At 37.4% G+C, this 23,457-nt stretch overlaps 1 protein-coding gene across 42 annotated transcripts in view, besides 4 other annotated features; it reads left to right on the top strand.

The window, feature by feature from the left end:
* CBLB (Cbl proto-oncogene B) overlaps nucleotides 2,590-23,457 on the top strand; it is a 213,989-nt gene continuing 193,121 nt past the window's right edge. For 13 of the 42 annotated variants that reach the window (NR_135808.2, NR_135809.2, NR_135806.2 and 10 more), the window contains exons 1-3: nucleotides 3,027-3,303; nucleotides 4,448-4,629; nucleotides 18,375-18,625. Coding sequence is in view for 24 of the 42 variants with exons in the window: in NM_001321799.2 (NP_001308728.1) it covers nucleotides 4,462-4,629; nucleotides 18,375-18,625 (419 nt within the window). In the remaining 18 variants the exon portion in view is untranslated. Of the gene's footprint in view, nucleotides 2,615-2,637; nucleotides 2,703-3,026; nucleotides 3,304-3,479; nucleotides 3,508-3,657; nucleotides 3,871-4,447; nucleotides 4,630-18,374; nucleotides 18,626-23,457 lie in introns of those variants that run through there. The other 29 variants (NR_135811.2, NM_001321796.2, NM_001321806.2 and 26 more) reach the window with 9 other exon arrangements.
* Nucleotides 2,829-3,058: a silencer, noted in NCBI's record as "silent region_14583". NCBI's record gives its function as "represses an Ori minimal core promoter by ATAC-STARR-seq in GM12878 lymphoblastoid cells {active_cell/tissue: GM12878}" and the evidence as "EXISTENCE:reporter gene assay evidence [ECO:0000049][PMID:35858748]".
* Nucleotides 4,816-4,905: an enhancer, noted in NCBI's record as "active region_20198". NCBI's record gives its function as "activates an Ori minimal core promoter by ATAC-STARR-seq in GM12878 lymphoblastoid cells {active_cell/tissue: GM12878}" and the evidence as "EXISTENCE:reporter gene assay evidence [ECO:0000049][PMID:35858748]".
* Nucleotides 5,026-5,075: an enhancer, noted in NCBI's record as "active region_20197". NCBI's record gives its function as "activates an Ori minimal core promoter by ATAC-STARR-seq in GM12878 lymphoblastoid cells {active_cell/tissue: GM12878}" and the evidence as "EXISTENCE:reporter gene assay evidence [ECO:0000049][PMID:35858748]".
* Nucleotides 5,106-5,155: an enhancer, noted in NCBI's record as "active region_20196". NCBI's record gives its function as "activates an Ori minimal core promoter by ATAC-STARR-seq in GM12878 lymphoblastoid cells {active_cell/tissue: GM12878}" and the evidence as "EXISTENCE:reporter gene assay evidence [ECO:0000049][PMID:35858748]".

The following is a 23,457-nucleotide window of genomic DNA, read 5'->3' as shown; positions in this document are numbered from 1 at the left end:
TTCTTAAGTATTCTTGCCACGAAGTCTCCCCCTCTTTTCTGGGAGACCTGGGGGAAGGGTCTCACATGTCCTTATGACCGGTTTGCTCACATTACTCACTTACTAGCCACCCTTGTGCTTACAAGATCCTTCATGTAGGAGCGCCACCATTCTGTCTTATGTCAGGATCTTCCAGTAGAACACTGCTGTCCCGTAATAAGGCCATATACATGTTCTTTCTAGGTTACAATTTCCCACACTGCTAACTGATGCTGCATTCACTTTAAACTGCACCCTACTGGGGACTGACTTGTTCTATAGAAATGAGGTGACTGTTTCTCTAGCCAACTCTGTCAGCTTGAAGTACTACTGCTTATGTCCTAAAATCTCTTATGGAAACATTTCTTTGTCTTCTTATTTATAGTCCTGAAGCATGCATCTTTTATTGTGCTTTATCTCTTGTGTCTCTACTGGAGGCACCCGGGGTTTGAAGTTTTATCCCAGCAGTTATTTATTCCCCGTGCACATTTACTTTTTCTAATAATTGGCAGGGAGGACTTCTACTGCTCCATCAGTTTATGAGAGAAAACCAAACTGAATCCGAGTTTCAGCTCAACTGGGAACCCTGCTACACCAGAACTTAACCTGGATTCCAGATTGCTTGATAAAATAGCTAGTTGATGATAAGCTATAATTTCTTGACCACACACACACACACACACACACATGCGTACATATGTACATACAGCAGTTCCCTTCATCCACAGGATATGCTCAAACCCACAGTGCATGCTTGAAATCTCAGAAAATACTGAACGCTATATATACTATGAGTATTCCAATACATACATACCTATGATAAGTTTATGAAGTAGTCACAGTAAGAGATTAATAACAATAACTATTAATAAAATAATAACAATATGCTGTAATACAAGTTATATAAATGTGGTATTTTTCTCTCTCTCAAAATATCTTTTTGTACTATACTCACCTATTTTCAAACCCTGGTTGTCCACAGGTAACTAGAACCAAGGAAAGTGAGATGGCAAATAAGTGGTAAGGGATGCTACCGTATCTCACATACATATATTTCAAAATACGTCAAACCATACACCTCAAAACTTGTAATTTATATCAACATGATATGCTTGATACCATAGGCAATGCCATTTTCTCATTAACTCATCTCTTTCAGTTGCAAAACACCATATAAAAGGAATGGCACATGCTATAACATGTATTTTGGGTATTTTACATTTATCCAGATATGAATATAAGTAATATACTTAGTTATAATGTTCCCTTAAGCCACTGTTTTGCTACATGCTTCTACACATTAATTCTTTTAAAATTTATTTTAAAGGTAACACAGTTTTTTTCTTTTACAGTCTCCCCTTAGTAAATGTAGCTACTACGACTATGAGTAAAAGAGATATGGATGGGTGGAGGAGATATGGAGAGGCCAGCACTTTTGTAGATAAATGCAATGTGAAAACAAGGAACTACTCTTTAATTACTGGCACAGAAATAATGACAAGGAAACAAAATTACTTCCTGAATCACACTTTATCACCTGACTGGTTGCAAAGGCACATTTTTTTTCTGTTTTCGTCAAATTAAAATCTTAACCATGTAAATTCAAGGCTGTAAAGGAAAACTCAGGATCCTTCATAGTAATAATTACAGTATTAAAATTCTTAGTTGCTAGAAAGTGGTTAGAACCATTGAGAAACATTTTATCAGGTTACGTGGTTAGAGCAAGATTTGAAAAAACAAAATCAAAAACAAAAAACCCAATGTAAAATATCAGAACATCTGAGATGTCCAAGCTGAAAAGTGTAATAAACGCTATCAACTGTAGTGGAAAGAAAGTTCCAAAGTATGAAGTCCAGAGCAATTGTTGGTAGCATGAGTGGTGGGATTGAAGTAAACTGAAATAAATGGAAGGCATTTGTTTAACCTATGATATTGCTGAAAGACAAGTCCCAGCACAGTAGCTTTCTCCTTTAAAGACTAGCCAGATGTCGGCCTTTTTAAGAGCACAAAGAAGGGAGCCACAGAAAGAGGTAACAATGCTGGTAGAGAATGGCAGCTACAGTAAGGTTGTTTTTAAATGGATAGAAATCTATGTAAAGGTGACTCCGACAAAACACAGTAGCTGTCTCCTCCTCAGTCATTTAGGCAGAAACTTGCACTAAGTAAAAAGGTGCAAGGTATTTATCAGCAATTCCCATTATCTGGTACTTTTATTGCTTTGGCATGATTAGCAGAGACTGTTTGGCCAGCGTTGTCAACTATTTGCTTTTTCATCAGCCTGATGTTTGGTCTGCAATCCCTCTAAAACTAACAGCAAAAGAGAAACTCGGAAACTTGGGAAGTTTCAGTTGGCATTCAGATGTCACCCCAGCCTACTCTCTGTGAGATTTATTCTGCATTTTAGAAGCTCAGTGGCTGTTGCTCTTTTTGATAGCCAACAAGAAGCAACGTCATAGACCTGTTTGGCTGCTGTCCTGGGTAGAAGGGTTTGGCAGCCCTAGGGAGATGAATTTCTCCAGCGTTGGACCCGCCCAGAGCGGAGAAGCAACACCCTTCCAGCCACTACTCTGTTGCTATGAAACAAAAGACTAGGAAGGTAAGCGAAGCAGGAAGTCCCGCCTTTCAGCCCCAGATGGCTTTGGCTCCCGGTCCCGACGCTCACGCCCACCTGCCACCCCTTATTGGTTAGCTCCTTCGTGCCTTGCATCCCTTCGTCCATTTCCTTTCCCGTTTCCACTTTCGTTCCCGGGAGAGTCCAGGCCCCTCATTTCTCTCCGAGTCCAATTCCTTTCTGACGTGCTGCGAGCGGGCCTTCCTCTGGGGCCATTGTGTACTGTGGAGGACGTGGACGGGGCGGCAGCGCGAGGAGGACGGGCGCCTCCCGTCCATTGGCTGCACCCGCTGTCGGGCAGTGCGCGGTTGCGCGGCATTGGCTCAGCGGCGCCCGGCCCCGCCCCCGCCCCGCCCCGCCCCGAGCCTGGGTCCTGTGTGTGCCACAGGGGTGGGGTGTCCAGCGAGCGGTCTCCTCCTCCTGCTAGTGCTGCTGCGGCGTCCCGCGGCCTCCCCGAGTCGGGCGGGAGGGGAGAGCGGGTGTGGATTTGTCTTGACGGTAATTGTTGCGTTTCCACGTCTCGGAGGCCTGCGCGCTGGGTTGCTCCTTCTTCGGGAGCGAGCTGTTCTCAGCGATCCCACTCCCAGCCGGGGCTCCCCACACACACTGGGCTGCGTGCGTGTGGAGTGGGACCCGCGCACACGCGTGTCTCTGGACAGCTACGGCGCCGAAAGGCAAGAAGGGAAGGGGTCGCCGGGGAGGCTCCACACTTCTTGCCGGCCCGGGGGCCCGGGGTAGCCAGGCGCGGGCCAAGGAGGAAGAGGGGACAGCCCTGGCTCTCAGCTGCCTTTGCCGCCGCCGTCCAGTTTGAAGTGGGGCATTTAAAGACCAGAACCCGCAGGCCGGGGAGGAGGGAGAGGGCGTCCAGGCAGACGGCGGTGAGGACTGCAGCAGGCGGCCGGGAGGCGCGTCCACCCAGGCGCCGAGCCCACAGTGTCCCTCCCGCGCCCTAGACGGACGGTGCTGCGGGCACGGGAGGGACACTTTGTCCCCTCCCAGTCCACCTTCCTCCTGCAGCTCAGACCCGAGGGGCCGGGAAGGGGCCTGAGCAGGGAAGGGACACAGGCGTCCTGAAACAAAGCTTTGGGTTGAGGGCAGAGGCGAGGAGCCAGAGAAGTGAACTCCTCCTTTCCGTGGCCGCTCTTGTCATTTTTCTCTTTTCTCTTTTCAAATGGGCTATTTGTGTGTTAATTTCATTTGGTTCTTGGGAATAACGACTCACCGCGTTGATTTAAAGAAAGGTGTTCGTGTGTCCGTACTTGGTGGTTTTAGTGTGGGACATGCCCTGCGCTTTTGTTGACAACAGAGCTGTCCCTTACGTTTGTGTAGGATAATCTTTATGTTTATGTAACTTGGAGAAATCTAACAGAGTGAAAGTGAAGTTTCTGCGTAAGGCTCCCAAAATGTATGATAGGACCTTCAGTTGTTCTGGTATTTTGAATTGGAATTAAGGCAGGAGGGGAAGAACATTCTGTTTTTATCTAGGTGGGGGAAACCTGTTTAAGTTTTGTTTGTTCTTTTTTTTTTTTTTATGAGTTGAGTATTAGTTCAGCCTTAGCTACTTGAAACGTGAGCAGGATGCATCTTTAACTCTTAGTATTGTAAAAGCAAATCTAGGATCACTGCTCTTAAAACTACTGTGTGTAAAGATTGAGAGTGTAAATTCACAAGCTTATTGATAAAGATGAATCCGGAACTTTTGGTTTTGCTCTAATCGATGGAGGAAGATGCAGTGGTACAAGTTAGTCTCTAGTTTTCTGGTGGGTAAATATTTTCAAAACCAACTAACTTTTCTTTTTTTAAATCTGCCTTTTAAAGAACTAAAATTCCAGATGGCAAACTCAATGAATGGCAGAAACCCTGGTGGTCGAGGAGGAAATCCCCGAAAAGGTCGAATTTTGGGTATTATTGATGCTATTCAGGATGCAGTTGGACCCCCTAAGCAAGCTGCCGCAGATCGCAGGACCGTGGAGAAGACTTGGAAGCTCATGGACAAAGTGGTAAGTTCTGTCTGACGTTGCCTGTGCGAAACACTATTCACTTTGTCTGTGGTTTCTCCAGATTTATTTATACTGTTAATTAATACCAACCATTGTTATGGCAACAATCTTTTGATTTCAATTCATCATTTTTCTTCAACTCTGTGTTTTTTGAAAAGTTGGATTCAAAGACTTTTTTGTTTTTTAACCTTTCATCCTTTCTACTCTTTAAGGTTCAGAGTTCCTCTACATGACTCAGTATGTAAAGTTTTACCATTGGCTGCTTTTTGTTGGTGTATGGCCATAGAATGCTTGGAAGTGTTTGTTCTGTCTTCTGTGAGGTTGTGTTGCTCTTAGATAACAAAAGAGTACCAGCAGGTTATTTAAGTCTTTGACCACTCATGACAATCATCTGGTATGATACTGAAAATATTTACTGGGGAAAGAAACAGATTAGTTCTTAAGTGAAGAAGCAGTAGTTGAGGGAGTTTCCATTTTCATCTTTGAGAATTCATCTTCATTAAGAAACTTTTTTTGTTGTTAATGGGAGAGTTAACAGTTTCTTTCATCTACTATTCCATTTTGAAACAGGAAACCTTTCGATGGCACATTGTTTATTGTGAAAGGAAAATTTATGTTGGGGGTGGTGAGGCTGAGAGTATCAGAAACCTCTGTGGTTTCTGCATGTTGCTTTCAGACAAACTATAATTTCACAAGAAGAAATCATGATGGGTGTCAGTATCCAGAGAAGTCAATCTGAATACCTTACAGAGATTTACTCAGAAACTGTAGCTGTCAGTATCCTACCTTACTAAGTATGATTATAAAATAAATTTAAGATGTAGCTTGCTGCTTTGCAAAAATTAATAATTCTTTTTTTTGAAGCAGTAGCACTGTCCTGGATTTATTAGTAAATGTTTGGAACACATTATGACTTTATTTCATAGATATCTGGGGCCAATTATAAGTTTAGTTGAGGCAAGACTCAGTATCTTTATAACTGAAGAAATGGAGGTTTTAAAAACAAATTTCTGTGTAAGGATGTGCCAAAGCATCCATGAAATCATGTGATAACATTCATCTTTGCTTTGATTTGCTCCTGTCTGTAAATATTGGCTATAAAAGCCACTATCAGTAGTAGTAGCAACATATGAATGTGACAAGATTTCCATTATTTTCATTTATTCTGATGGAAGGGACACACAGATGAATGACTGGCCTGTCATTCTACAGGCAATGGTGCTAAATGCAGAGCCAGAATATTTTTGCCAGATAAATAGCCTTAGTTTTGGGCTTCAGTGTGACCTATTTACGCTTCTGCCAATTTATTCAAATTGTTATATTAAAGTGCTCCAGACAGAATGATGTCATAGTGTCAGAATATTGCAACTTGCTGCTTGGGGTTCAGTTTTGATTTTAGCATTGGATACTTTAGAATAAGGACTATTCAATTGGAAAAATAGCATATATTTGTCAAGCACAATGCTGCCTATCTTGTCTTTGCTAAAGAGTGTGCATTTGAAGGTCACTCTCACTGCCTAAATCATTAGTTGGGGTAAGAGAAGGAATTCAAGGTTTTTCTCTAACTTATCTGCTACGTAAGTGGACAGCAAATGGTTCAGATTCTATAAAGGGGCTGTTCTTTTTCCCCCACCCTCCAACTTTGAGTGGTCAGTGTTTGTACATTTGTGTTAGGACATCAAATCAAAAAGATTTATATAAGGATGTGGTGAGCTATAGTTACTATAAAATCATTATTTTTGAAACATTAAAAATGATGTACACAATTTTGGTCTGTAACTGGTTGTTAACATAAGTTTTATTCACTTTTAATTATTTCACCATGAGTTATGGTAAAATAGATGGTTATTTGATAGTTAAACATCTGCTATTGTTTATTTTATTAACCCTTCTGTGGGTTTAGGTTTAGTCTCTCCAATTGAGAAACTTGACCCAACAAGGAAATCTATTATCAAAAGTCTCTACTTAGTGGGATGTGGGTGCGGGTGTTGGCAAATGTACATTGCCTGTTTGTCTTCATTATTTGTCAAAGATGAAAATGGTTGTGTTCATTTGTGAATGTACCCAGGGGCTTTGTGGAGAGAAATTGCATAAATTATTATGAAAGAATTCAGTATGTTTATTTTTACTGTAAGATACAGTAAATAGAAAGGCATTGATAATTACTAATTGGCAGTATATAAGTGTGTAGTACAGAAACATCCCCCTCTTTTGTTTATCTTTTCTTATTTGTTAGTGGTGAAGGAAGTGGCTCATAATATCAACATTGTCCTGATGATTACATCAGGAACTTTATTATTAGTTCTGAAGTTAATCCCTTGACACATTACCTTTTTAAAAAAATAACTGCAATAGCATGAATTTAGTTTGTGAATAACAGAAAATAGCAATTTTCAAGTCTAATTGGTAGGTATGTAAAAGGCAGAGTTAAGTGTATAGTTAATATTTTTTTCTTATGAAGCCTCTTTGCAAGGGTAGATCTTGGAAGTATAAATATGAACACAAGCTTCAATTTCAGTGTGTTTCAGCTACCAATAAAGTAAAATAACTATTTTTACAGGGAATAATGAAGCAGTCTTGGGTTGTAGGGGAAATATCTAGTGAGTATGTAGTTTTACCATTTCTTGGCCTCTGGAATTTAAAATGGTCAATTGAAATTCTTTCCAATTAATGTTCTGTTTTCAGAGGGCAGGCTTTTGCTCTAAGGTCACTGAGAATAGGAGAGCGTAATTGCTCAGTTGTGTTCCTTATAAGATGTAGAGTGTTTTGTAACAGAAAATCAGTAGCACAGAGTTAGCATAGTCTATGTTTTGAGGAAAAGAATAGTAGATAGTAGCATATCCCAAAACATCCCATTACAGATTTTCTGGCCTTAGCTCTGTGTATGTGTAATTTGATAGCCGACCCAGAAGCCCTCACATCAGTGGATGCTTATTTGATACAGTGATAGAAGTATTAATCATGAATACATATCTAGGTTCAAGTGCGCCAGAATGAAATGTGGAGTCTGTTCTGAAGCTACTCAAGAGACAAGGTTTCTTAAACACTTAATAAACATTTTTTGAGGGCCTACTGTGTTTCCACTGAGTGCTCGTTACTGGGGATATGAAGCTAGACAAGACATAATCCCGCCTTTGACCTGTCAAGGAACTCAGAGAACAGTATCAGAGCCAAACACATAAATGGATAATTGCCATGTAGTATGGAAAGGGCTATATTACAAACCCCAAGTACAGTGGGAACAGAGTAGAGAACATCCTCCTTGTTTTTCTGGCCAGTGTTGAGACAGTTTTCTGTCTGGATTCTGCTGGCCATTGCCTTTTAGGAACAGCATTATTGTGTTCTTGTTGGAAATGCTGAGGTGAGAGTAAGGAAATGATTACTAATCAGTATGGTTGGAATGATAATTTATTAATGTGAGGTTCCTGAGCATGGTTTTCATAAGAATCTTAGCCAGGTGATGGAAAATAGAAGAAACAATTTTCCATCTAATAGATACTAAATGTACTGAGCATACATGGATGCTTAGGAAATTAGAAAATAATTAATTGATGCTGAAGAGCAAAGCACTCTGAGTACCTGCCTCAAATTTTTGTTTTGCTGTCCTCGTCATTTATTTTAAATTACATTACCAAAAGAATTTAAAAAGCATTTAGGAAGTGATGATGCCCAGTAGGCTTTTCCTGCCTTTTGCCCTCAGTCTATTTAGTACATTTTTCAAGCTTGAAATATAATTTACACTCCTTTTAATTTAATTGTGATCATAATATATTTTAAAGTTTGTCAATCAAGGATGCTTGGATTATATATAAATATTTTAAAGAATACAAGTCAACTTTCTTTTCTAAGCTGAGTTCCTCATATCTCTGAAAGATATTCCATGTGGACTAAGACAGGTTTTAGATGCCTGTTGTTTGTGTTTACTAAGTTGGAGACTCTTACATTCCTAGAGCCTTAAAACCAGGGATATCATTCATTTGAATTATACTTCTTGACGTATTTCCTTTTCCTCACTGAAGTTGTTCCACCTTAGCAGAATCATGGGTTGTGGTAGACTTGGTTAGGGGATAATAACAAATTGTCTGGACAGTTTTGTTTAGTACTCAGTTCAGTTTTGAATTTGTGTTGTGATAAATGAAGTGATCCCAAAGTTTGGTACATGACTTCTTAGAAAAGCTATTGATAAAGTGAAAGATTTAAAGGAATCATATGAAGACTTACCTTGGTTTATCCCTGTGATATAAGGCATTCATATAATGCAGGCCTTAATCAGTTAGTAGTCTTTTAAATATTACAGAATTTTTAGCATTGAGATTTTGAATCTATTTCTTTCTTCTTTTTAGAAGGTGCTTTATGTGCTATCTGTTGATTTCATCATTCATTTATCAAATCTCAACTATGGAAAGACAGACATTTCCAAATAGCTATGCCATAGAGTAAAATGTAGTAAGTGCTTTAAGGTAGTATAAATAAAGTGCTGAGATGTAGTACGTGGTAGAGGTGAACCGTTGCTTGCTAAGGGTGAAAAGTTGGTGTAGAATGAAGCATGGAGGAGGTGCTGGCCAGCTCATGGGTTGGAGTCCAGTGAGATGGAGGACATGTTAGGTTGAAGGAATGATAGATTGTTGAGTAAGAGAGGGGAAGTTAGGGTAAGATGATAGAGGTTTTGATTGCTTTTGTCAAATAATTTTGTCTTAATTTATTTGGTAGAAAACCATTGAAGGCTGTTAATCAGGGAGGGAAAACTTCAGGGCTGTGCTTTGATAGAATACTTACTTGACTCTGTAAAGCTTGAATTAAGAGAAAAAAACTGAAAGCAAGAGTAATGATCAAGAGGAATTAAAACAGTCTGGGCAAGAAATAATGAAATGCTGGCCTAGATACTTGGAAGTAGGTGTAGCAAGTGTTGGTTCAGATGTGGGAGGCATTTTGGAGGTAAAATCTACAGGTCTTGGTGACCCCTTAGAATTAGAGGATGAAAGAGAAGGTGCAGTGAAAGTGACTCTTGAGGTTTTCAGCCTAGTTGACTCCGAAGGCAGTGATGCACTTAATGAGGTAAGGAACGTAAGAAGGAAAAGAGGAAGTGTGCGGGTTAGTTTTTGGCCATGCTAAGTTCAGTGTACCAGAGTGAATTTCATTTAAAATCAGAAAATTAAGTGTACAGTTCAAGAGAGAAGTAGAAACAAGAGACACATATTTGGTAGATATTCTCATAGAGATAGCATTTCAAGCTATATAACTGTCAGAGATTTCGGAGGAAGAATAGAGGGAGCAATGCAGAGAAAAAGTCAGATAATTGAATTCTGGGGAGATTGAGGGGTGTAATTAAATACCAGAGAAGGAAAGAGAATCCTACATAGATTAGTGATGAGAAAGGTAGAATTAAACCATAATGACATCCTAGGTACAAACAGCTTTAAGAAGAAGATAAAATCTGAAGTTCTGATAAAACTAAGTTCAGATTCAAGTAGAGAAAACCAAACAGGGTGAAAAATTAAGAAGTCATTGAATTGTATGATTAGAGGCCATTATTGACCTTTGTGGAGCAGTTTAACTTATGTGATGGGGTGAGATTAAAATGAGTATGTGGATTATTTAAAAATTGTTCTAGAACTGTAACAACAATGAAAAGGAAGGGAGTTCTGTTAGCTTGAGGATTTGAACATCATTGAAATAACTCTGTGTGTGTGTGTGTGTATGTATGTGTGTGTGTGTGTGTGTGTGTATGTGTGCACACACCATAGGAGAGGTTCAAAGATTGGTGGGAAAAAAAAAAGATTGATGGGAAAGGATGTAGTTAGGGAATGGCCTAAGATGCAAGGGAAAAAGAAATAGTTGAAGCAGTAGCATTCTAGATTAAACTGTGGGAGGGAAAGAGTAGGAACAAGTAGAAGGGTTAATCTTGGCGAATAAATGTAACTTCCACTTACACAGGAGGAAAGCAAGGGAATATACAGAGAAGTTTTGAGGGAATTTGTAAATTTTATATTGGGTTGTCAGGAAGTGATTTAAGGCATAATATTTATAATGTTTAAACCATGTTTTTAATTTTTATATCATGAAATATGCAATATATGTATTTTAACTAGTCTTCTAGCATTTAAGTGGGTAAATAAGTAAAAAATTAAAATGGAAATCAATTCTCATCTTTAATATTAAGTTTATCTTATTATACACTTGCTGTGACTTAGAGGATGCCACAGTGCTATTTTTATCTACTCTGCTTGGGCATATATTAATAATATTATTACAATTTTACTAAAGGTTTTTTTTGTTTTTAAGTATTTGTAGGTTGCTAATTTTTTTCAAGTAATGAAAGACACATTTTGAAAATATCCAACACATTTTATAGGTTTTTAACATAGTTACATTTAGATGATTGTTGAGCTTATATTATCTTACAGTATCAATGAAAAAAGTATTAATAGTTATAATATTCTACCTGTTAAAAGATTTAAAAAAATATTAAAGCCCTACGTCTTTTCCTGAGAGCCTCTTGGGTTTGAAGAAACCAGAGGATTCCATGTCAGCTGACAGGAACACTGACCTGGGCTTAGCCTTATTTCCTGCTTTTCTGCACAGAACATTCCAGGCTTTTTAAGGGTTTTAGGCAGCATGAGTAACTTTATGAGCTAAAAGAGCTTCTAAAAATCATGATCCTCAACAAACTGTTCAGTGCCCTTGGTCTAATTTTCATACCTTTGCAAAATCTGCAGGGATTTTGCCTTGTGATGGAATGTAAAATATGGAAGGGAGAAGAAATATTAAGAAGGAGATAGGGCTAACTATGTTCTGGACACAGTGCATAGCACTTTACATTTCCTCTTGTAAGAATTATAATATCCTAAGAGGTTTCCCGAAGAAGAACCCTGCCCAAGGTTGTAAAGCTAGTAAATGTTAGGGCCAGATCCTAGGTTTGCTTGATTCTAATGTCTGTGTTCACAGTATGAAGAGTGAAGCACACTGCTCCATGGAATAATATGATGCTTCCTTTTTCCAAAGGAAGTAAATCAAAAGGGCATTTCCCCTCCTCCACTTCCATATTTGATATTATCAAATTCTTCTCCAAACTTTGTACTCATTTTTAGGCAGCTTTATTCAATGTAGTTGTGGATATGCTATTTGTAATATAATTTTCCTGAGAGGTTCGTCCTTACCTTGTTTGCTTCCTCCTCCTCTTCCTCCTTTCTGCCATCAAATATTTGTTGCACATCTACTATATGCAAAGTTCCATATTAGGTGATAGAGAGAGACCAATGAGAAAGACTGTTCTTCACTTTCAAGGAAGTTCCATTCTCATTTGGAAGAAAGAGAGTGAACAGAATACACAATTGATATTTTAATTACAACTAGTCAGTTCTTTAATGGTGCTTCTTAATGTCAATCTTCTGAAGACATCTTCGTGGAAAACCATAAAGGTCTTGGTAATTTTCTGTAAATTCAGCTGTGCTGGACTCATGATCAATTTTATATGCCAACTTTGTTTTGCCCAATTAATAATCTATTAAAAAAGTGTATTTTTATACTTTTTTACACTGTACATTTTTATACTTAGTAAAATACATTTTTATAATTTTTATATTTAGTAATTATTTGCTGCATTAAAATGGAAAGAACCCAAAGAACTCTTCGGTACCTGTTATTATAAAGAGAGAGATATATATATACTTTAGGTCACTGTAATAAGAAACCTCTTCTAACATTTATAGGAGGAGGACAGGGCTTTCTTTTTTTTTTTTTTTTTTTTGACACGGAGTCTCACTCTGTGGCCCAGGTTGGAGTGCTGGAGTGCAGTGGCACGATCTCGGCTCACTGCAAGCTCCGTCTCCTGGGTTCACGCCATTCTCCTGCCTCAGCCTCCCAAGTTCCTGGGACTACAGGCGCCTGCCACCACACCCTGCTAATTTTGTTTTTGTATTTTTAGTAGAAACAGGGTTTCACCGTGTTAGCCAAGATGTTCTCGATCTCCTGACCTCGTGATCCGCTCGCCTCGGCCTCCCAAAGTGCTGGGATTACAGGCGTGAGCCACCGCGCCTAGCCCAGGGCTTTCTATATTGTTTTTAAGAATGAGGCAGTTCACTTGAGAGTATATGACTTGATTCAGTGTAACTGAATGCTCCATGAAGTGAGGCGTGTTTTATAATGAAAGTCTTATAGTATAGGCACAATTCCTTACTGTTGAAATTTTCATTTTATTTGGTAAGAGTTCTTTCCTATGTTTCACAGGCTGGTTTGAACCTTGTTTGCAAGGAATGTACTATCTGATCTAATACATTTTTATTACCTTTTGGCTGGAAGTTTTAATTAAGGCGCAGTCAGAAAACTCTTTAAATGCAAGATTATTCCAAGAATAAGTAATGACTTTGAAAATTCTTATAGCATTAGTAAATCCTGTTTTTGTATTTGTGCTTTTGCTTTGATATGGTTGAATATATGTATCTAAATACATATTTATGTATTGGAATGCATAGCCAATATATTAATAATATATTTTTATTCATGTGAAACAATGCATGTACAGAGAGAGTCTCCTTAAATATTTCTAATACATTTAAGCAAATACAAAACTCAGTTGTATATTGGTATGGAGACAGTTCCTGATTCTCAAGTCCAGCTATCAGGGTTCTGAGCAGTAACCTTAGTTAGGTTCTAGTTCTGTATTTCAATATTGACACGTCAAAAGGAATTGGTCCTGGTAATTTCCAAATTTTTTGAGTCAATGGCTATAGTGGAATTTTCAGCCTAATTCCAATAATAAATGTTTTGCCTTTTAGTTCAACAGAAAAGAGCAATATTGCTATTGAACCAATTCTTTTATGCACCAATCGGTGCCCTACAAAGTTCATCATTTTATAATGTGACTACAGATTTGTTCTTTGTCAAAGCTCTTCTGTGTTAGTACCAAGCTTCATTCTAGGAAGCAATTTAGGTATTTCTAGAAGAGGTGTAACCATTTGAATCTGAACTTGACCCTGGTGGTGAGCTTGATTTTCTCTCTAATATACTGCCTTTAGAAAAGCAATTTTTCTTTCCTGGCTTTTGCAGCTCCTTGCACATAGCAGGTATTCAATAAATATTTATTGAATGGAATTGAATTTGACCTGCTTAGAAGTCATAGTCCTGATGTAGGGTTATTCATTTTTGGCAGAAGCTGTCATAAATCACAGGGTTTAATAGTAATCCAACTGATGAACTGCGCACCCAGTGGCATACCGTAGTTCAGCATTGTATGTTGCACTTTCCCAAGTGCAAATTTAGAAAACAGTTTAGCCTACAGGGCCTTGATGAACTGACTCTGGCCTATTTCAGATCTCTCGTACTACTCACTCACAGCCTTCCTTCCTATGCTCTGATCTTTTAGAATAACTGCATTTACTTCTCTCTTAACATGCTTGCTCTCTGGTGTCTCTTAAGCCTTAGCACACTCCTTTGCCTAGAATACTCCTTTTGGCAAATTTAAGTATGTATTTCCTGACACTCTTATGTGGAGATGAGTGAGCTGCTGCTTTTCTCCTGTAGCAGTTTGTACTTGCCTCCATCATAGCACTAAATTCTCCTGTAATTCTTTTCCTAAGCCACCAGTCTTTCCCACTAGGCAGCTGCTTGAGGGCAGGTGTGTGATTTATTCCTTTCTGTGTTCCCTAGAGCCTGAAACAATGCCTGCCACATAAATGTTTGTTGAATTAACAAATGGGTCCTGAAGTTTACGTAAATTTGCAAATGGAATAAAATAAAAATGTAAATGAGTTTAGCAGGGATCATTAATTATATGCCTAATTTTAATTAAATTGTGATACAGTTAGAAAGATCAGCCCGAGATTCAGAAGATACAAGCTCTTGTATTGGATTAATGATATTTTAATGGTCCCTTAATCTTTCTAGTTCTTAGTTTTTTTAAATCTGGAAATGAATGGATTGGGTGGAATCTTTACTAAGATCCCTTAGAGCAAGAATTACATTGCTCTTAAGTTAATTATAGAGAACTACGTCTCTTCTGCCAGACTCTTTGCATCTCTTTGAATCAGGAAGTATGTTCTAGTCATCTATAATTTCCTAGCTCTAAGCTCAGTACCTGGCATATAGTAGTTCAAGCAATTTCCACCTGATAAAGCAATAAATTCCCACATGGAATTACAGTTTTAAATAAAGCAAATGAGAAAAAAGTTCAGATAAAGAATAGTGAATTAAATATTTGTAAAACATAAACGTTTCTGTCAAAGAATATTTATGTGGAATGTCTGGAAAAAAAATACCTGACAGAAATTTTGTATGTATCAGTTAAAAAGTTCTCTAGTAGAGGAAATGAATTTGAAGCTACCTGGTCCCCAAACTAGAAGAAAATAATGTATCAGTCTGTGACATGTTACACCAAGTTTTATGTTGCTGACATTAAACTATGCCTGCTGTAGAATGTTGGTGGCAATATTCTTGGTATTTATGTATACTTGTGATAGTATTTTTGGTTTAAATAATTTAAAAACCATATTCTTTTTCAAGCAGGATTTGTTAAATAATTGGCATATTTGGGACTTAATCTTTAGGGCAGAATGAACTCTGATTATACTAACGTATCACGTATTAAAAAGGGGGTAAAAAAAGCTCTGTCAGCCATTTTCACTATACTTTGTAAAGATTTGCTGTTATTTAGTAAATGAGATGACATCTTACCTTTCCAAGGACTTTCTTGGAGATAAAAATACTATTATTACTTTTTAACTAAGCCTATACCTTTGGATTATTAATTTGAATACTTGATACTTTAGAGTTCAATTGTAAAAATAAAGGAAATAATACAATCAAACTATTTGTGAAAAAAAAATAGCAGTCAACCAATCCATTAATTTGTTGGTTATGTACTCAGCAATTCTGCTTTAAGGCATTGTTTACAAAGAGGAAGAATATAAGATCATGCCCTGGGTTAATGTGAAAAACATCTTAAATTAGAGGCTGATGGTTGGAAATTTGAACCAGATTTTTCTCTCCATCTACTCCCTCTGAAAAAAACCCTGATCCCCAGTGATTTCTTTTTTTTTTCCTTTTCTTTTTTTTTTTTTTTTTTTTGAGATGGAGTCTTGCTTTCTTGTCCAGGCTGAGTGCAGTGATGTGATCTCAGCTCACTGCAACCTCTGCCTCCCGGGTTCAAGTGATTCTCCTGCCTCAGCCTCCTTAGTAGCTGGGATTACAGGCACCTGCCACCACACCCAGCTACTTTTTGTATTTTTAGTAGAGACAGGGTTTCACCATGTTGGCCAGGCTGGTCTCGAACTCCTGACCTCATGATCTGCCTGTCTCGGCCTCCCAAAGTGCTGGGGTTACAGGTGTGAGCCACTGCGCCTGGCCAATTTCTTTAAGAAAGTAAGTGTGATAGTGTGTATAAGAGTACCCTTTAAATTTGTTAGTTCCTTGATTTATTGTGTTCGTTATGCTTGAAGTTATTATAGTTCGATTGTTTATTTGTCCCAGGCACTTTTATGGGTGCCCAGAGGCAGATCCATGTTTTATGTCCCCTGAAACTTATATGATTTGAAAGAATCTTTCTAAATATAAAGAATACGAAAGTACAAACATCAAATTGTTTATGAAAGTGAATTTTTTTTAGAATGAGAAAAATCCACAAAGCACTATAGTTTTTAAAAAGCCGGTATATCTACAAGTGATTAGAGAAATAATCTAGACTAGTTTTTGGCTCTGTACATTTTATACTTTGATTATCTTCCGTTACCGCATATACTTCCAGTTTTGGGTGTCATGAAACACATTCAAATTGCCAGATTTGAATTGGATTTCACTGTTCCCATGGTAGGCTAGTCAGCATTGTGGGCACCTCAGGTATTTCTAAAACCATCTTTTAAAAAAAGTTCTATTACAGATTTAAAAAATATTGTATTTATTTAAGGTGTATAACATGATGCTTTGATATATATACACATAGTGAAATGGTTACTACATCAAATAAATTAACATATCCTTCACCTTCCATAATTACCTTTCTGTGGTAAGACCATTTAAACTCTGTTCTCTTAGCAAATTTTCAGAATACAGTATTATTAGCTATAGGCCTCATGCTGTACATTAGATCTCCAGTATTAATTATCCTACATAACTTCAAATTTGTACTCTTTGACCTTCTTCTCTCCATTTCTTCCCCTCCCCATCCCTGGGGCCCACCCACTGTTCTACTCTCTGTTTCTTTGTTGCTTAACTCCTTCTTTTAAGATTTTGCATGTGAAAATGAGATCATATATTAATAGTATATTCTTTCTTTGCCTGCCTTATTTCAGTTTCATTGGGATTGCTGACAGTAATTAAACCATTTTACAGGAGTGACTGTATGCCTCACATATACCTTCCATTAAACCCAAAGTAAATGTGTCTTCAATTCAAATTTCCATTAGCCAGATTCCAAAAATACCCACAGCCACTCCAGTGCCACCCAACAGGAGGCTTTAGCCAATTATGTTTAAGATATTATACTCTTAGGCCGGGTACGGTGGCGCACACCTGTAATCCCAGCACTTTGGGAGGCCGAGGCGGGTGGATCACAAGGTCAGGAGTTCGAGACCAGCCTGACAAAGATGGTGAAATCCCGTCTCTACTAAAAATATAAAAATTAGCCAGGTGCGGTGGCAGGCACCTGTAATCCCAGCTACTTGGGAGGCTGAGGCAGGAGAATCACTTGAACCCGGGAGGCAGAGGTTGCAGTGAGCTGAGATCGTGTCACTACACTCCAGCCTGGGTGACAGAATGAGACTCCGTCTTAAAAAAACAATAAAATAAAATAAGATATACTCTTGACAATTTGACAAAAAAAAAAAATACAACGAGGGCCTTAGAAGAGAGCCATGTATCTTTATGATCTTTATGTGAACATTTAACCTTTTGTAAGAGTGCTGTCCCATTACACTATATAATGCTACTGTGCAATTCTCAATTATTTCATTTGAAAGTTATTTATGTAAAGAGTTGATTATGCCCTTTCTGGAGGGATAAGAATGTGGTGGACTAACTTACTCTTGGCTAAATCACATGAACATGTAGAAGTGAATACATTAGTTGGATTACTACCTTCTCTGGCCGGCAGAAGGTACTTTCAGTTCTGCAGGCAGCCCCTGAACGCCCCAGTGGTTGGGCAGCACCTGTGATGGGATGACTGAACCGTTATATGCCACATGTTTATAGGCGTGGTAGACAGTATGGGGAGGTGGAAAAGACTGGTTCTGACCTGACACACATTTACTACTTAATAACTCAGTTATTCAAATTGCACCTCTTTGTTTTATTGTCCTCGGGGTTCAGAACAGTACACCAAAACGCTAATTAACAAACTATGAGACAGCAACAGCTGGGAATTCAGTGTAGTAAAATAACATATAAATGTGAGACATTGGTTGTCAACAGAGAAGGCCCATTTCCTCATTTTTATTTAAAAAAAAAGACTATCAGTGATATACAGTGATTAGCATACTGGAGTTCTTTTAAGCTATGCACAATGAGGTATCTTAGAATTAAACTTTAGAGGTTCAAAATAAGGATATGATATAGAAAAGATTGAATGGTAGGAGAACAGAATAGGATTTATTTATATTATGACAAACGTGACTATCAGTTAATAAATTGGAGATAGTAAGTTAAGATCATTATTTATATTATGGAAAAATGAAGAAATAGGACATGGTTCTCTAACTTTTTAATTTTTCTGTGAAATAAAATATTATGACTTATTTTATTTTTATCTTTGTTTTTAGGTAAGACTGTGCCAAAATCCCAAACTTCAGTTGAAAAATAGCCCACCATATATACTTGATATTTTGCCTGATACATATCAGCATTTACGACTTATATTGAGTAAATATGATGACAACCAGAAACTTGCCCAACTCAGTGAGAATGAGTACTTTAAAATCTACATTGATAGCCTTATGAAAAAGTCAAAACGGGCAATAAGACTCTTTAAAGAAGGCAAGGAGAGAATGTATGAAGAACAGTCACAGGACAGGTAAGAAGAATATTTCAGATGTTTTGGTGTAAAGGTCATTTATGTTGCTTTTTACTTAATAGTTAACCTAAACGTCACCATGTAATTGTTTTGGGGTAAATGTGAGTCGCTTTGTATATAGTCATGTGGTACTTAACGATGGGGATACTTTACAAGAAATGCATTTTTAGACAATTTCATTGTTGTGTGGACATGATAGAGTGTACTTACACAGAGCTAGATGGTATTACCTACCGCACACCTAGGCTGTATGATGTAGCCTATTGCTCCTAGGCTGCAAATCTATACAGTATGTTACTGTACTGAATACTGTGGGCAGTTGTAACACAATGGTAAGTATGTGTGTATCTAAATATACCTAAACATAGAAAAGGTATGGTAAAAATACTGTATAAAAGGCCGGGCGTGGTGGGTCATGCCTGTAATCCCAGCACTTTGAGAGGCTGAGGTGGGCGGATCACTTGAGGTCGGGAGTTCGAGACCAGCCTGACCAACATGGAGAAACCCTGTCTCTACTAAAAATACAAAATTAGCCCGGCGTGGTGGCACACGCCTGTAATCCCAGCTACTCGGGAGGCTGAGGCAGGAGAATCGCTTGAACCCAGGAGGTGGAGGTTGTGGTGAGCTGAGATTGTGCCATTGCACTCCAGCCTGGACAAAAAAAAAAATACTGTATAAAAGATAAAAATGGATAACCTGTAATAACCTGTATAACATGCATGGAGCTTGCCAGACTGGAAGTGAGTGAGTGAACGGTGAGTGAATGTGAAGGCCTAGGACTGTTACTGTACACTACTGCAGACTTCAGAAACATTGTACACTTAGGCTACACTAAATTTATAAAAAAAATTTCTTTTCCAATATGAACAGCCTACTGTCACATTTAAACTTGATAAACTTTTAATTTTTTTTAACTTTTTGACTCTGGTATTAACAATTAGCTTAACAAAAATATTTTCTTTCTATATTACCCTATAAGCTTTAAAAAATGTTAAAAAATTAAGTTTTAAAAAAAATTTTATAAACTTTTTAAAAACTAAGACACAAACACACACATTAGCCTAGGCCTGCACAGTGTCAGGATCATCAATATTATTGTCTTCCACCTCCACATCTTATTCCACTGGAAGGTCACACAATATGTAACTTTTTCAGATTGGCTTCTTTCACCTAACAATTTGCATTTTAGCATGGAGCAATAACATGCATGGAGCTATCATCTGTGATAATAGTGCCTTCAGGAATACCTCCTGAAGGGCCTGCCTGAGGCCCTTTTACTGTTAGCTGTTTTTTAATAAGTAGAAGGAATACCCTATAAAATAATGTTAAAAAGTTTATAGTATAGTAAATACATCAACTAGTAATATAGTCACTTATTATAATATCATTATCAAGTATGTGTTATGCATAATTGTATGTGCTATGCTTTTATGTGACTGGTGGCACAGTAGATTTGTTTACACCAGCATCACCACAAACATGTAATATGTTGCACTATGACCTTGTGATGACTATGACATCACTAGGTGATAGGAATTTTTCAGTTCCATTATAATCTTATGAAAGCACTAACATAAATGCAGTCTGTCATTAACTGAAATGTCCTTGACTGAAATGTCATTACGGGGTTCATGACTGTATTTGCTTTTAACATTAATAGCTTTATGTGAATTTACTTATGATAGTAGCTAGTTCATGAGACAGTATTCTCAATGTTTTAATAGACTTCATTTTCAGAGTCATTTTAGGTTTACAGGAAAATTATTCAGAAATTACAGTTCCCATAAATCTCCTCTGCCCAAGCAGTTTCTCCTGTTCACATCTTGCATTGGTGTAGTGTGTTATAGTTGATAAACTATTGTTGATACATTATTATTAACTAAAGCCTAGAGTTTACATTAGGGTCCACTTTTTGTGTTGTGCTGTTCTATGCTCCATAAATGCATAATGTAATATATCCACCATTACAGTGTTATATAGAATTGTTTCACTGCCCTAAAAATGCCCCGTGATCTACTTACTGTCTCACTTCCCCCCCTGAACCCATGGCAACCGCTGATCTTTTTACTGTCTGTGCAGTTTTGCCTTCTCCACAGTGTTACATAGTTGGACTCACACAATATGTAACTTTTTCAGATTGGCTTCTGTCACCTAACAATTTGCATTTTAGGTTCCTCCATGTCTTTTCATAACTTGGTAGCTCATTTCTTTATGCCACTGAATAATACTCCATTGTGTGGTTGCATCACAGTTTGGTTTTTCACTCACACCTTGAAGTACATCTCGGTTGCTTCCATTTTTTGGGTAATCATGTATAAAGTTGCAATAAATATTTGTGTGTAGGTATTCATGTGGATTTAGGCTTTTAACTCATTTGGGTAAAATACCTAGCAAGATTGCTAGATTTTCAGGGTATGCATAAGTTTAGAAAGCACATAAGAAACTTTCAAGAAAGTTTGTAAGAAACCCCTTGACTGGTTCCAAAGTGGCTCTACCCTTTTTCATTCCCACCAGCAACGAATGACAGTTCTTGGTGCTCCACATCCACACCAGAATTTGGTATTGGAGACAAGTGTTTTAAAGACATAGTTTGATTGAATCTGCGGATGTGGTAGATGTGGGTGGGAGATGTAACTTCCATCTGTGTATTTTGACTTAAGTGAGAAACTGAACTGGGCTGGCAAAGACTGAATTGACATCAACCAAATCCTAATTTTATAGCCAGGATTCTTCATTTAGATATCCTCATTCAAGTTTATTGTTTGGCCATTCTAATGTTAAATTTCAGGATCTATCTTAAACAAAATAAGGAAAATGATAGAGTTTTCCATTTCTGGGCTATTTTAAATATATATGGAATATTCATGATAGTGATAGTTTATTTAGATTTCCAAATTGGAAAACCAATATTAATGAAAATATATAGTGTCTTAACATGTTAGTTAAATTTTAGTGTGAGACTCTTAACCTCTCTGTATTTAGTTTTCTGACATAGGAAAACCTTTAAGAAACCTCTAATATTTCTTTCAGGTCAGAAAAACTGGCCTCATAGGGTTGTAAAATAGAAAATTCAGTTATGGAGGTATGTGAACTCTAAATTTTCTATGAATACTGGCCAAATACCCATAACAAGTAAAACCATCAAATTCAAACATAAAAAACCCTCTTCCAGGTGTAAAATGGCATAATTATATATTTATAATTTATAATTTTCTCTCTCAATTAGAGATGAACCCAAACATACTCGTAGACGTCTAACCAATTATGTAACTTTGGGCTCGTCACTTAATATTCTTGGGCCACAGTTTATTCATCTTGAGGGTGGTGAATCTTCCTGTTGCCTTTTAGCATTAATTAATGCTTTAAAATTCTCCAGGAATAACAAGAGGAATTTGAGTTGCCACAGTGTGACAGAAGTAAGGTAGAGAAATATTATAGTGATTGTTTATTCTTGTACACTTTTCAAGAAGTGCTAACATCTTGGGAAGTCAGATATTTATGTTAAATTTTTATTTTTCACATTGTATTTCTGCCATTGACCTAATAAAACTAAGTTCTTTACAAATGTCTTTATAATTCTTTTTTCAAATTTAGTAGTTTTGAAATTCTTCCTGATCCAGCCAAGTCATCCATTAAATTTTACTCTTTAGGGTATCAGTACATTGACAAGGCATATAACTCCTTTGACTAGGAATTTGAGTGGATACAGTGTTTTAATTGGATGTAATCATATATGATGTGGTAAACTTGTATCCCACTTTTACATCTTCTGTGGAAACTTGAAACATTTTCTAACTCAGTAGATGTTTTATAATTTCCATTTGATAATTTTGATAGTTTTGCTTATGTGGAAACATTTCATGGGAGACATTTAAGTTTTGTTTGATAATGTATAGATTCCCATAGATTTTGATAGCTCTCATAATGCTGACTATTCACAATGAGGTCACTCATTCTGTGTATTCTTGCCTGCATTTTAAGTGTCCAAGTGAATTTTGTTCACTGTCCTAAATGCAACCCTAAGACAAAATTTATTGGTTTCTATGCTGATATAGCATATCCTTAATTGGATATTACTGTTATCCTTGTTCTGTTTACTGACAATGTTCTGTGGCCAGCTGTGTTTATGCAGAATTTACATTTGATAAATGTTTCATAACAATTCATAATAATGTACCATTCTTGGTACACCATAACAGGCACATAAACTTTCGAACTGTGTTTCTTTTTCTAGTAATATATTTGGACACATTCACTTCTAGGTTCCCTTAGGATTCCAAATGCAAACTGAGTCTAAAATGTGCCATTGCACATGGAGCTCTGAGGCATTTTGCTCTACAGAACACAGAAGAGTCTTCTTAGCATGTTTTCATTTACAGAGTGGCCTCATTCTGAATAGTCAGCATTATGAGATCTATTGATCTATGAAAATCTGTACATTACCAATCAGAACCTAAAAGTCTCCCATGAAATGTTTCTACATAAGCAAAACAATCAAAGGTAGTTAGGCAACAAAGTATATGGTTTAGTAGAATGACTCCACCTAATCGGTATGACAACGCTGGTTACTGGGAATATTATAAATTCACTACAGAATTGTTTCTTTGATTCTGTAAGTAGCTCACTAGGGACATTACTATAATTGAGCTAAAAATGAAGGACAGTAATAGTAGAAACAGTAATTTGGAGTTAATTGACTTAATCAGTATTACTTCATGTGATTCTGCCCGCTTTATTGAAGAAATTGTGCTGGATGAGTACATGAATCAAAATGCATATTTTAATGTTCCTGCACCTCTGTTGTGTCAACAATAAATGCGGATTGTTATACA

The sequence above is a fragment of the Homo sapiens genome, chromosome 3, assembly GCF_000001405.40.
Source record: "Homo sapiens chromosome 3, GRCh38.p14 Primary Assembly".
Classification (NCBI taxonomy): domain Eukaryota; kingdom Metazoa; phylum Chordata; class Mammalia; order Primates; family Hominidae; genus Homo; species Homo sapiens.
This window is presented reverse-complemented; position numbering and strand designations above follow the sequence as displayed.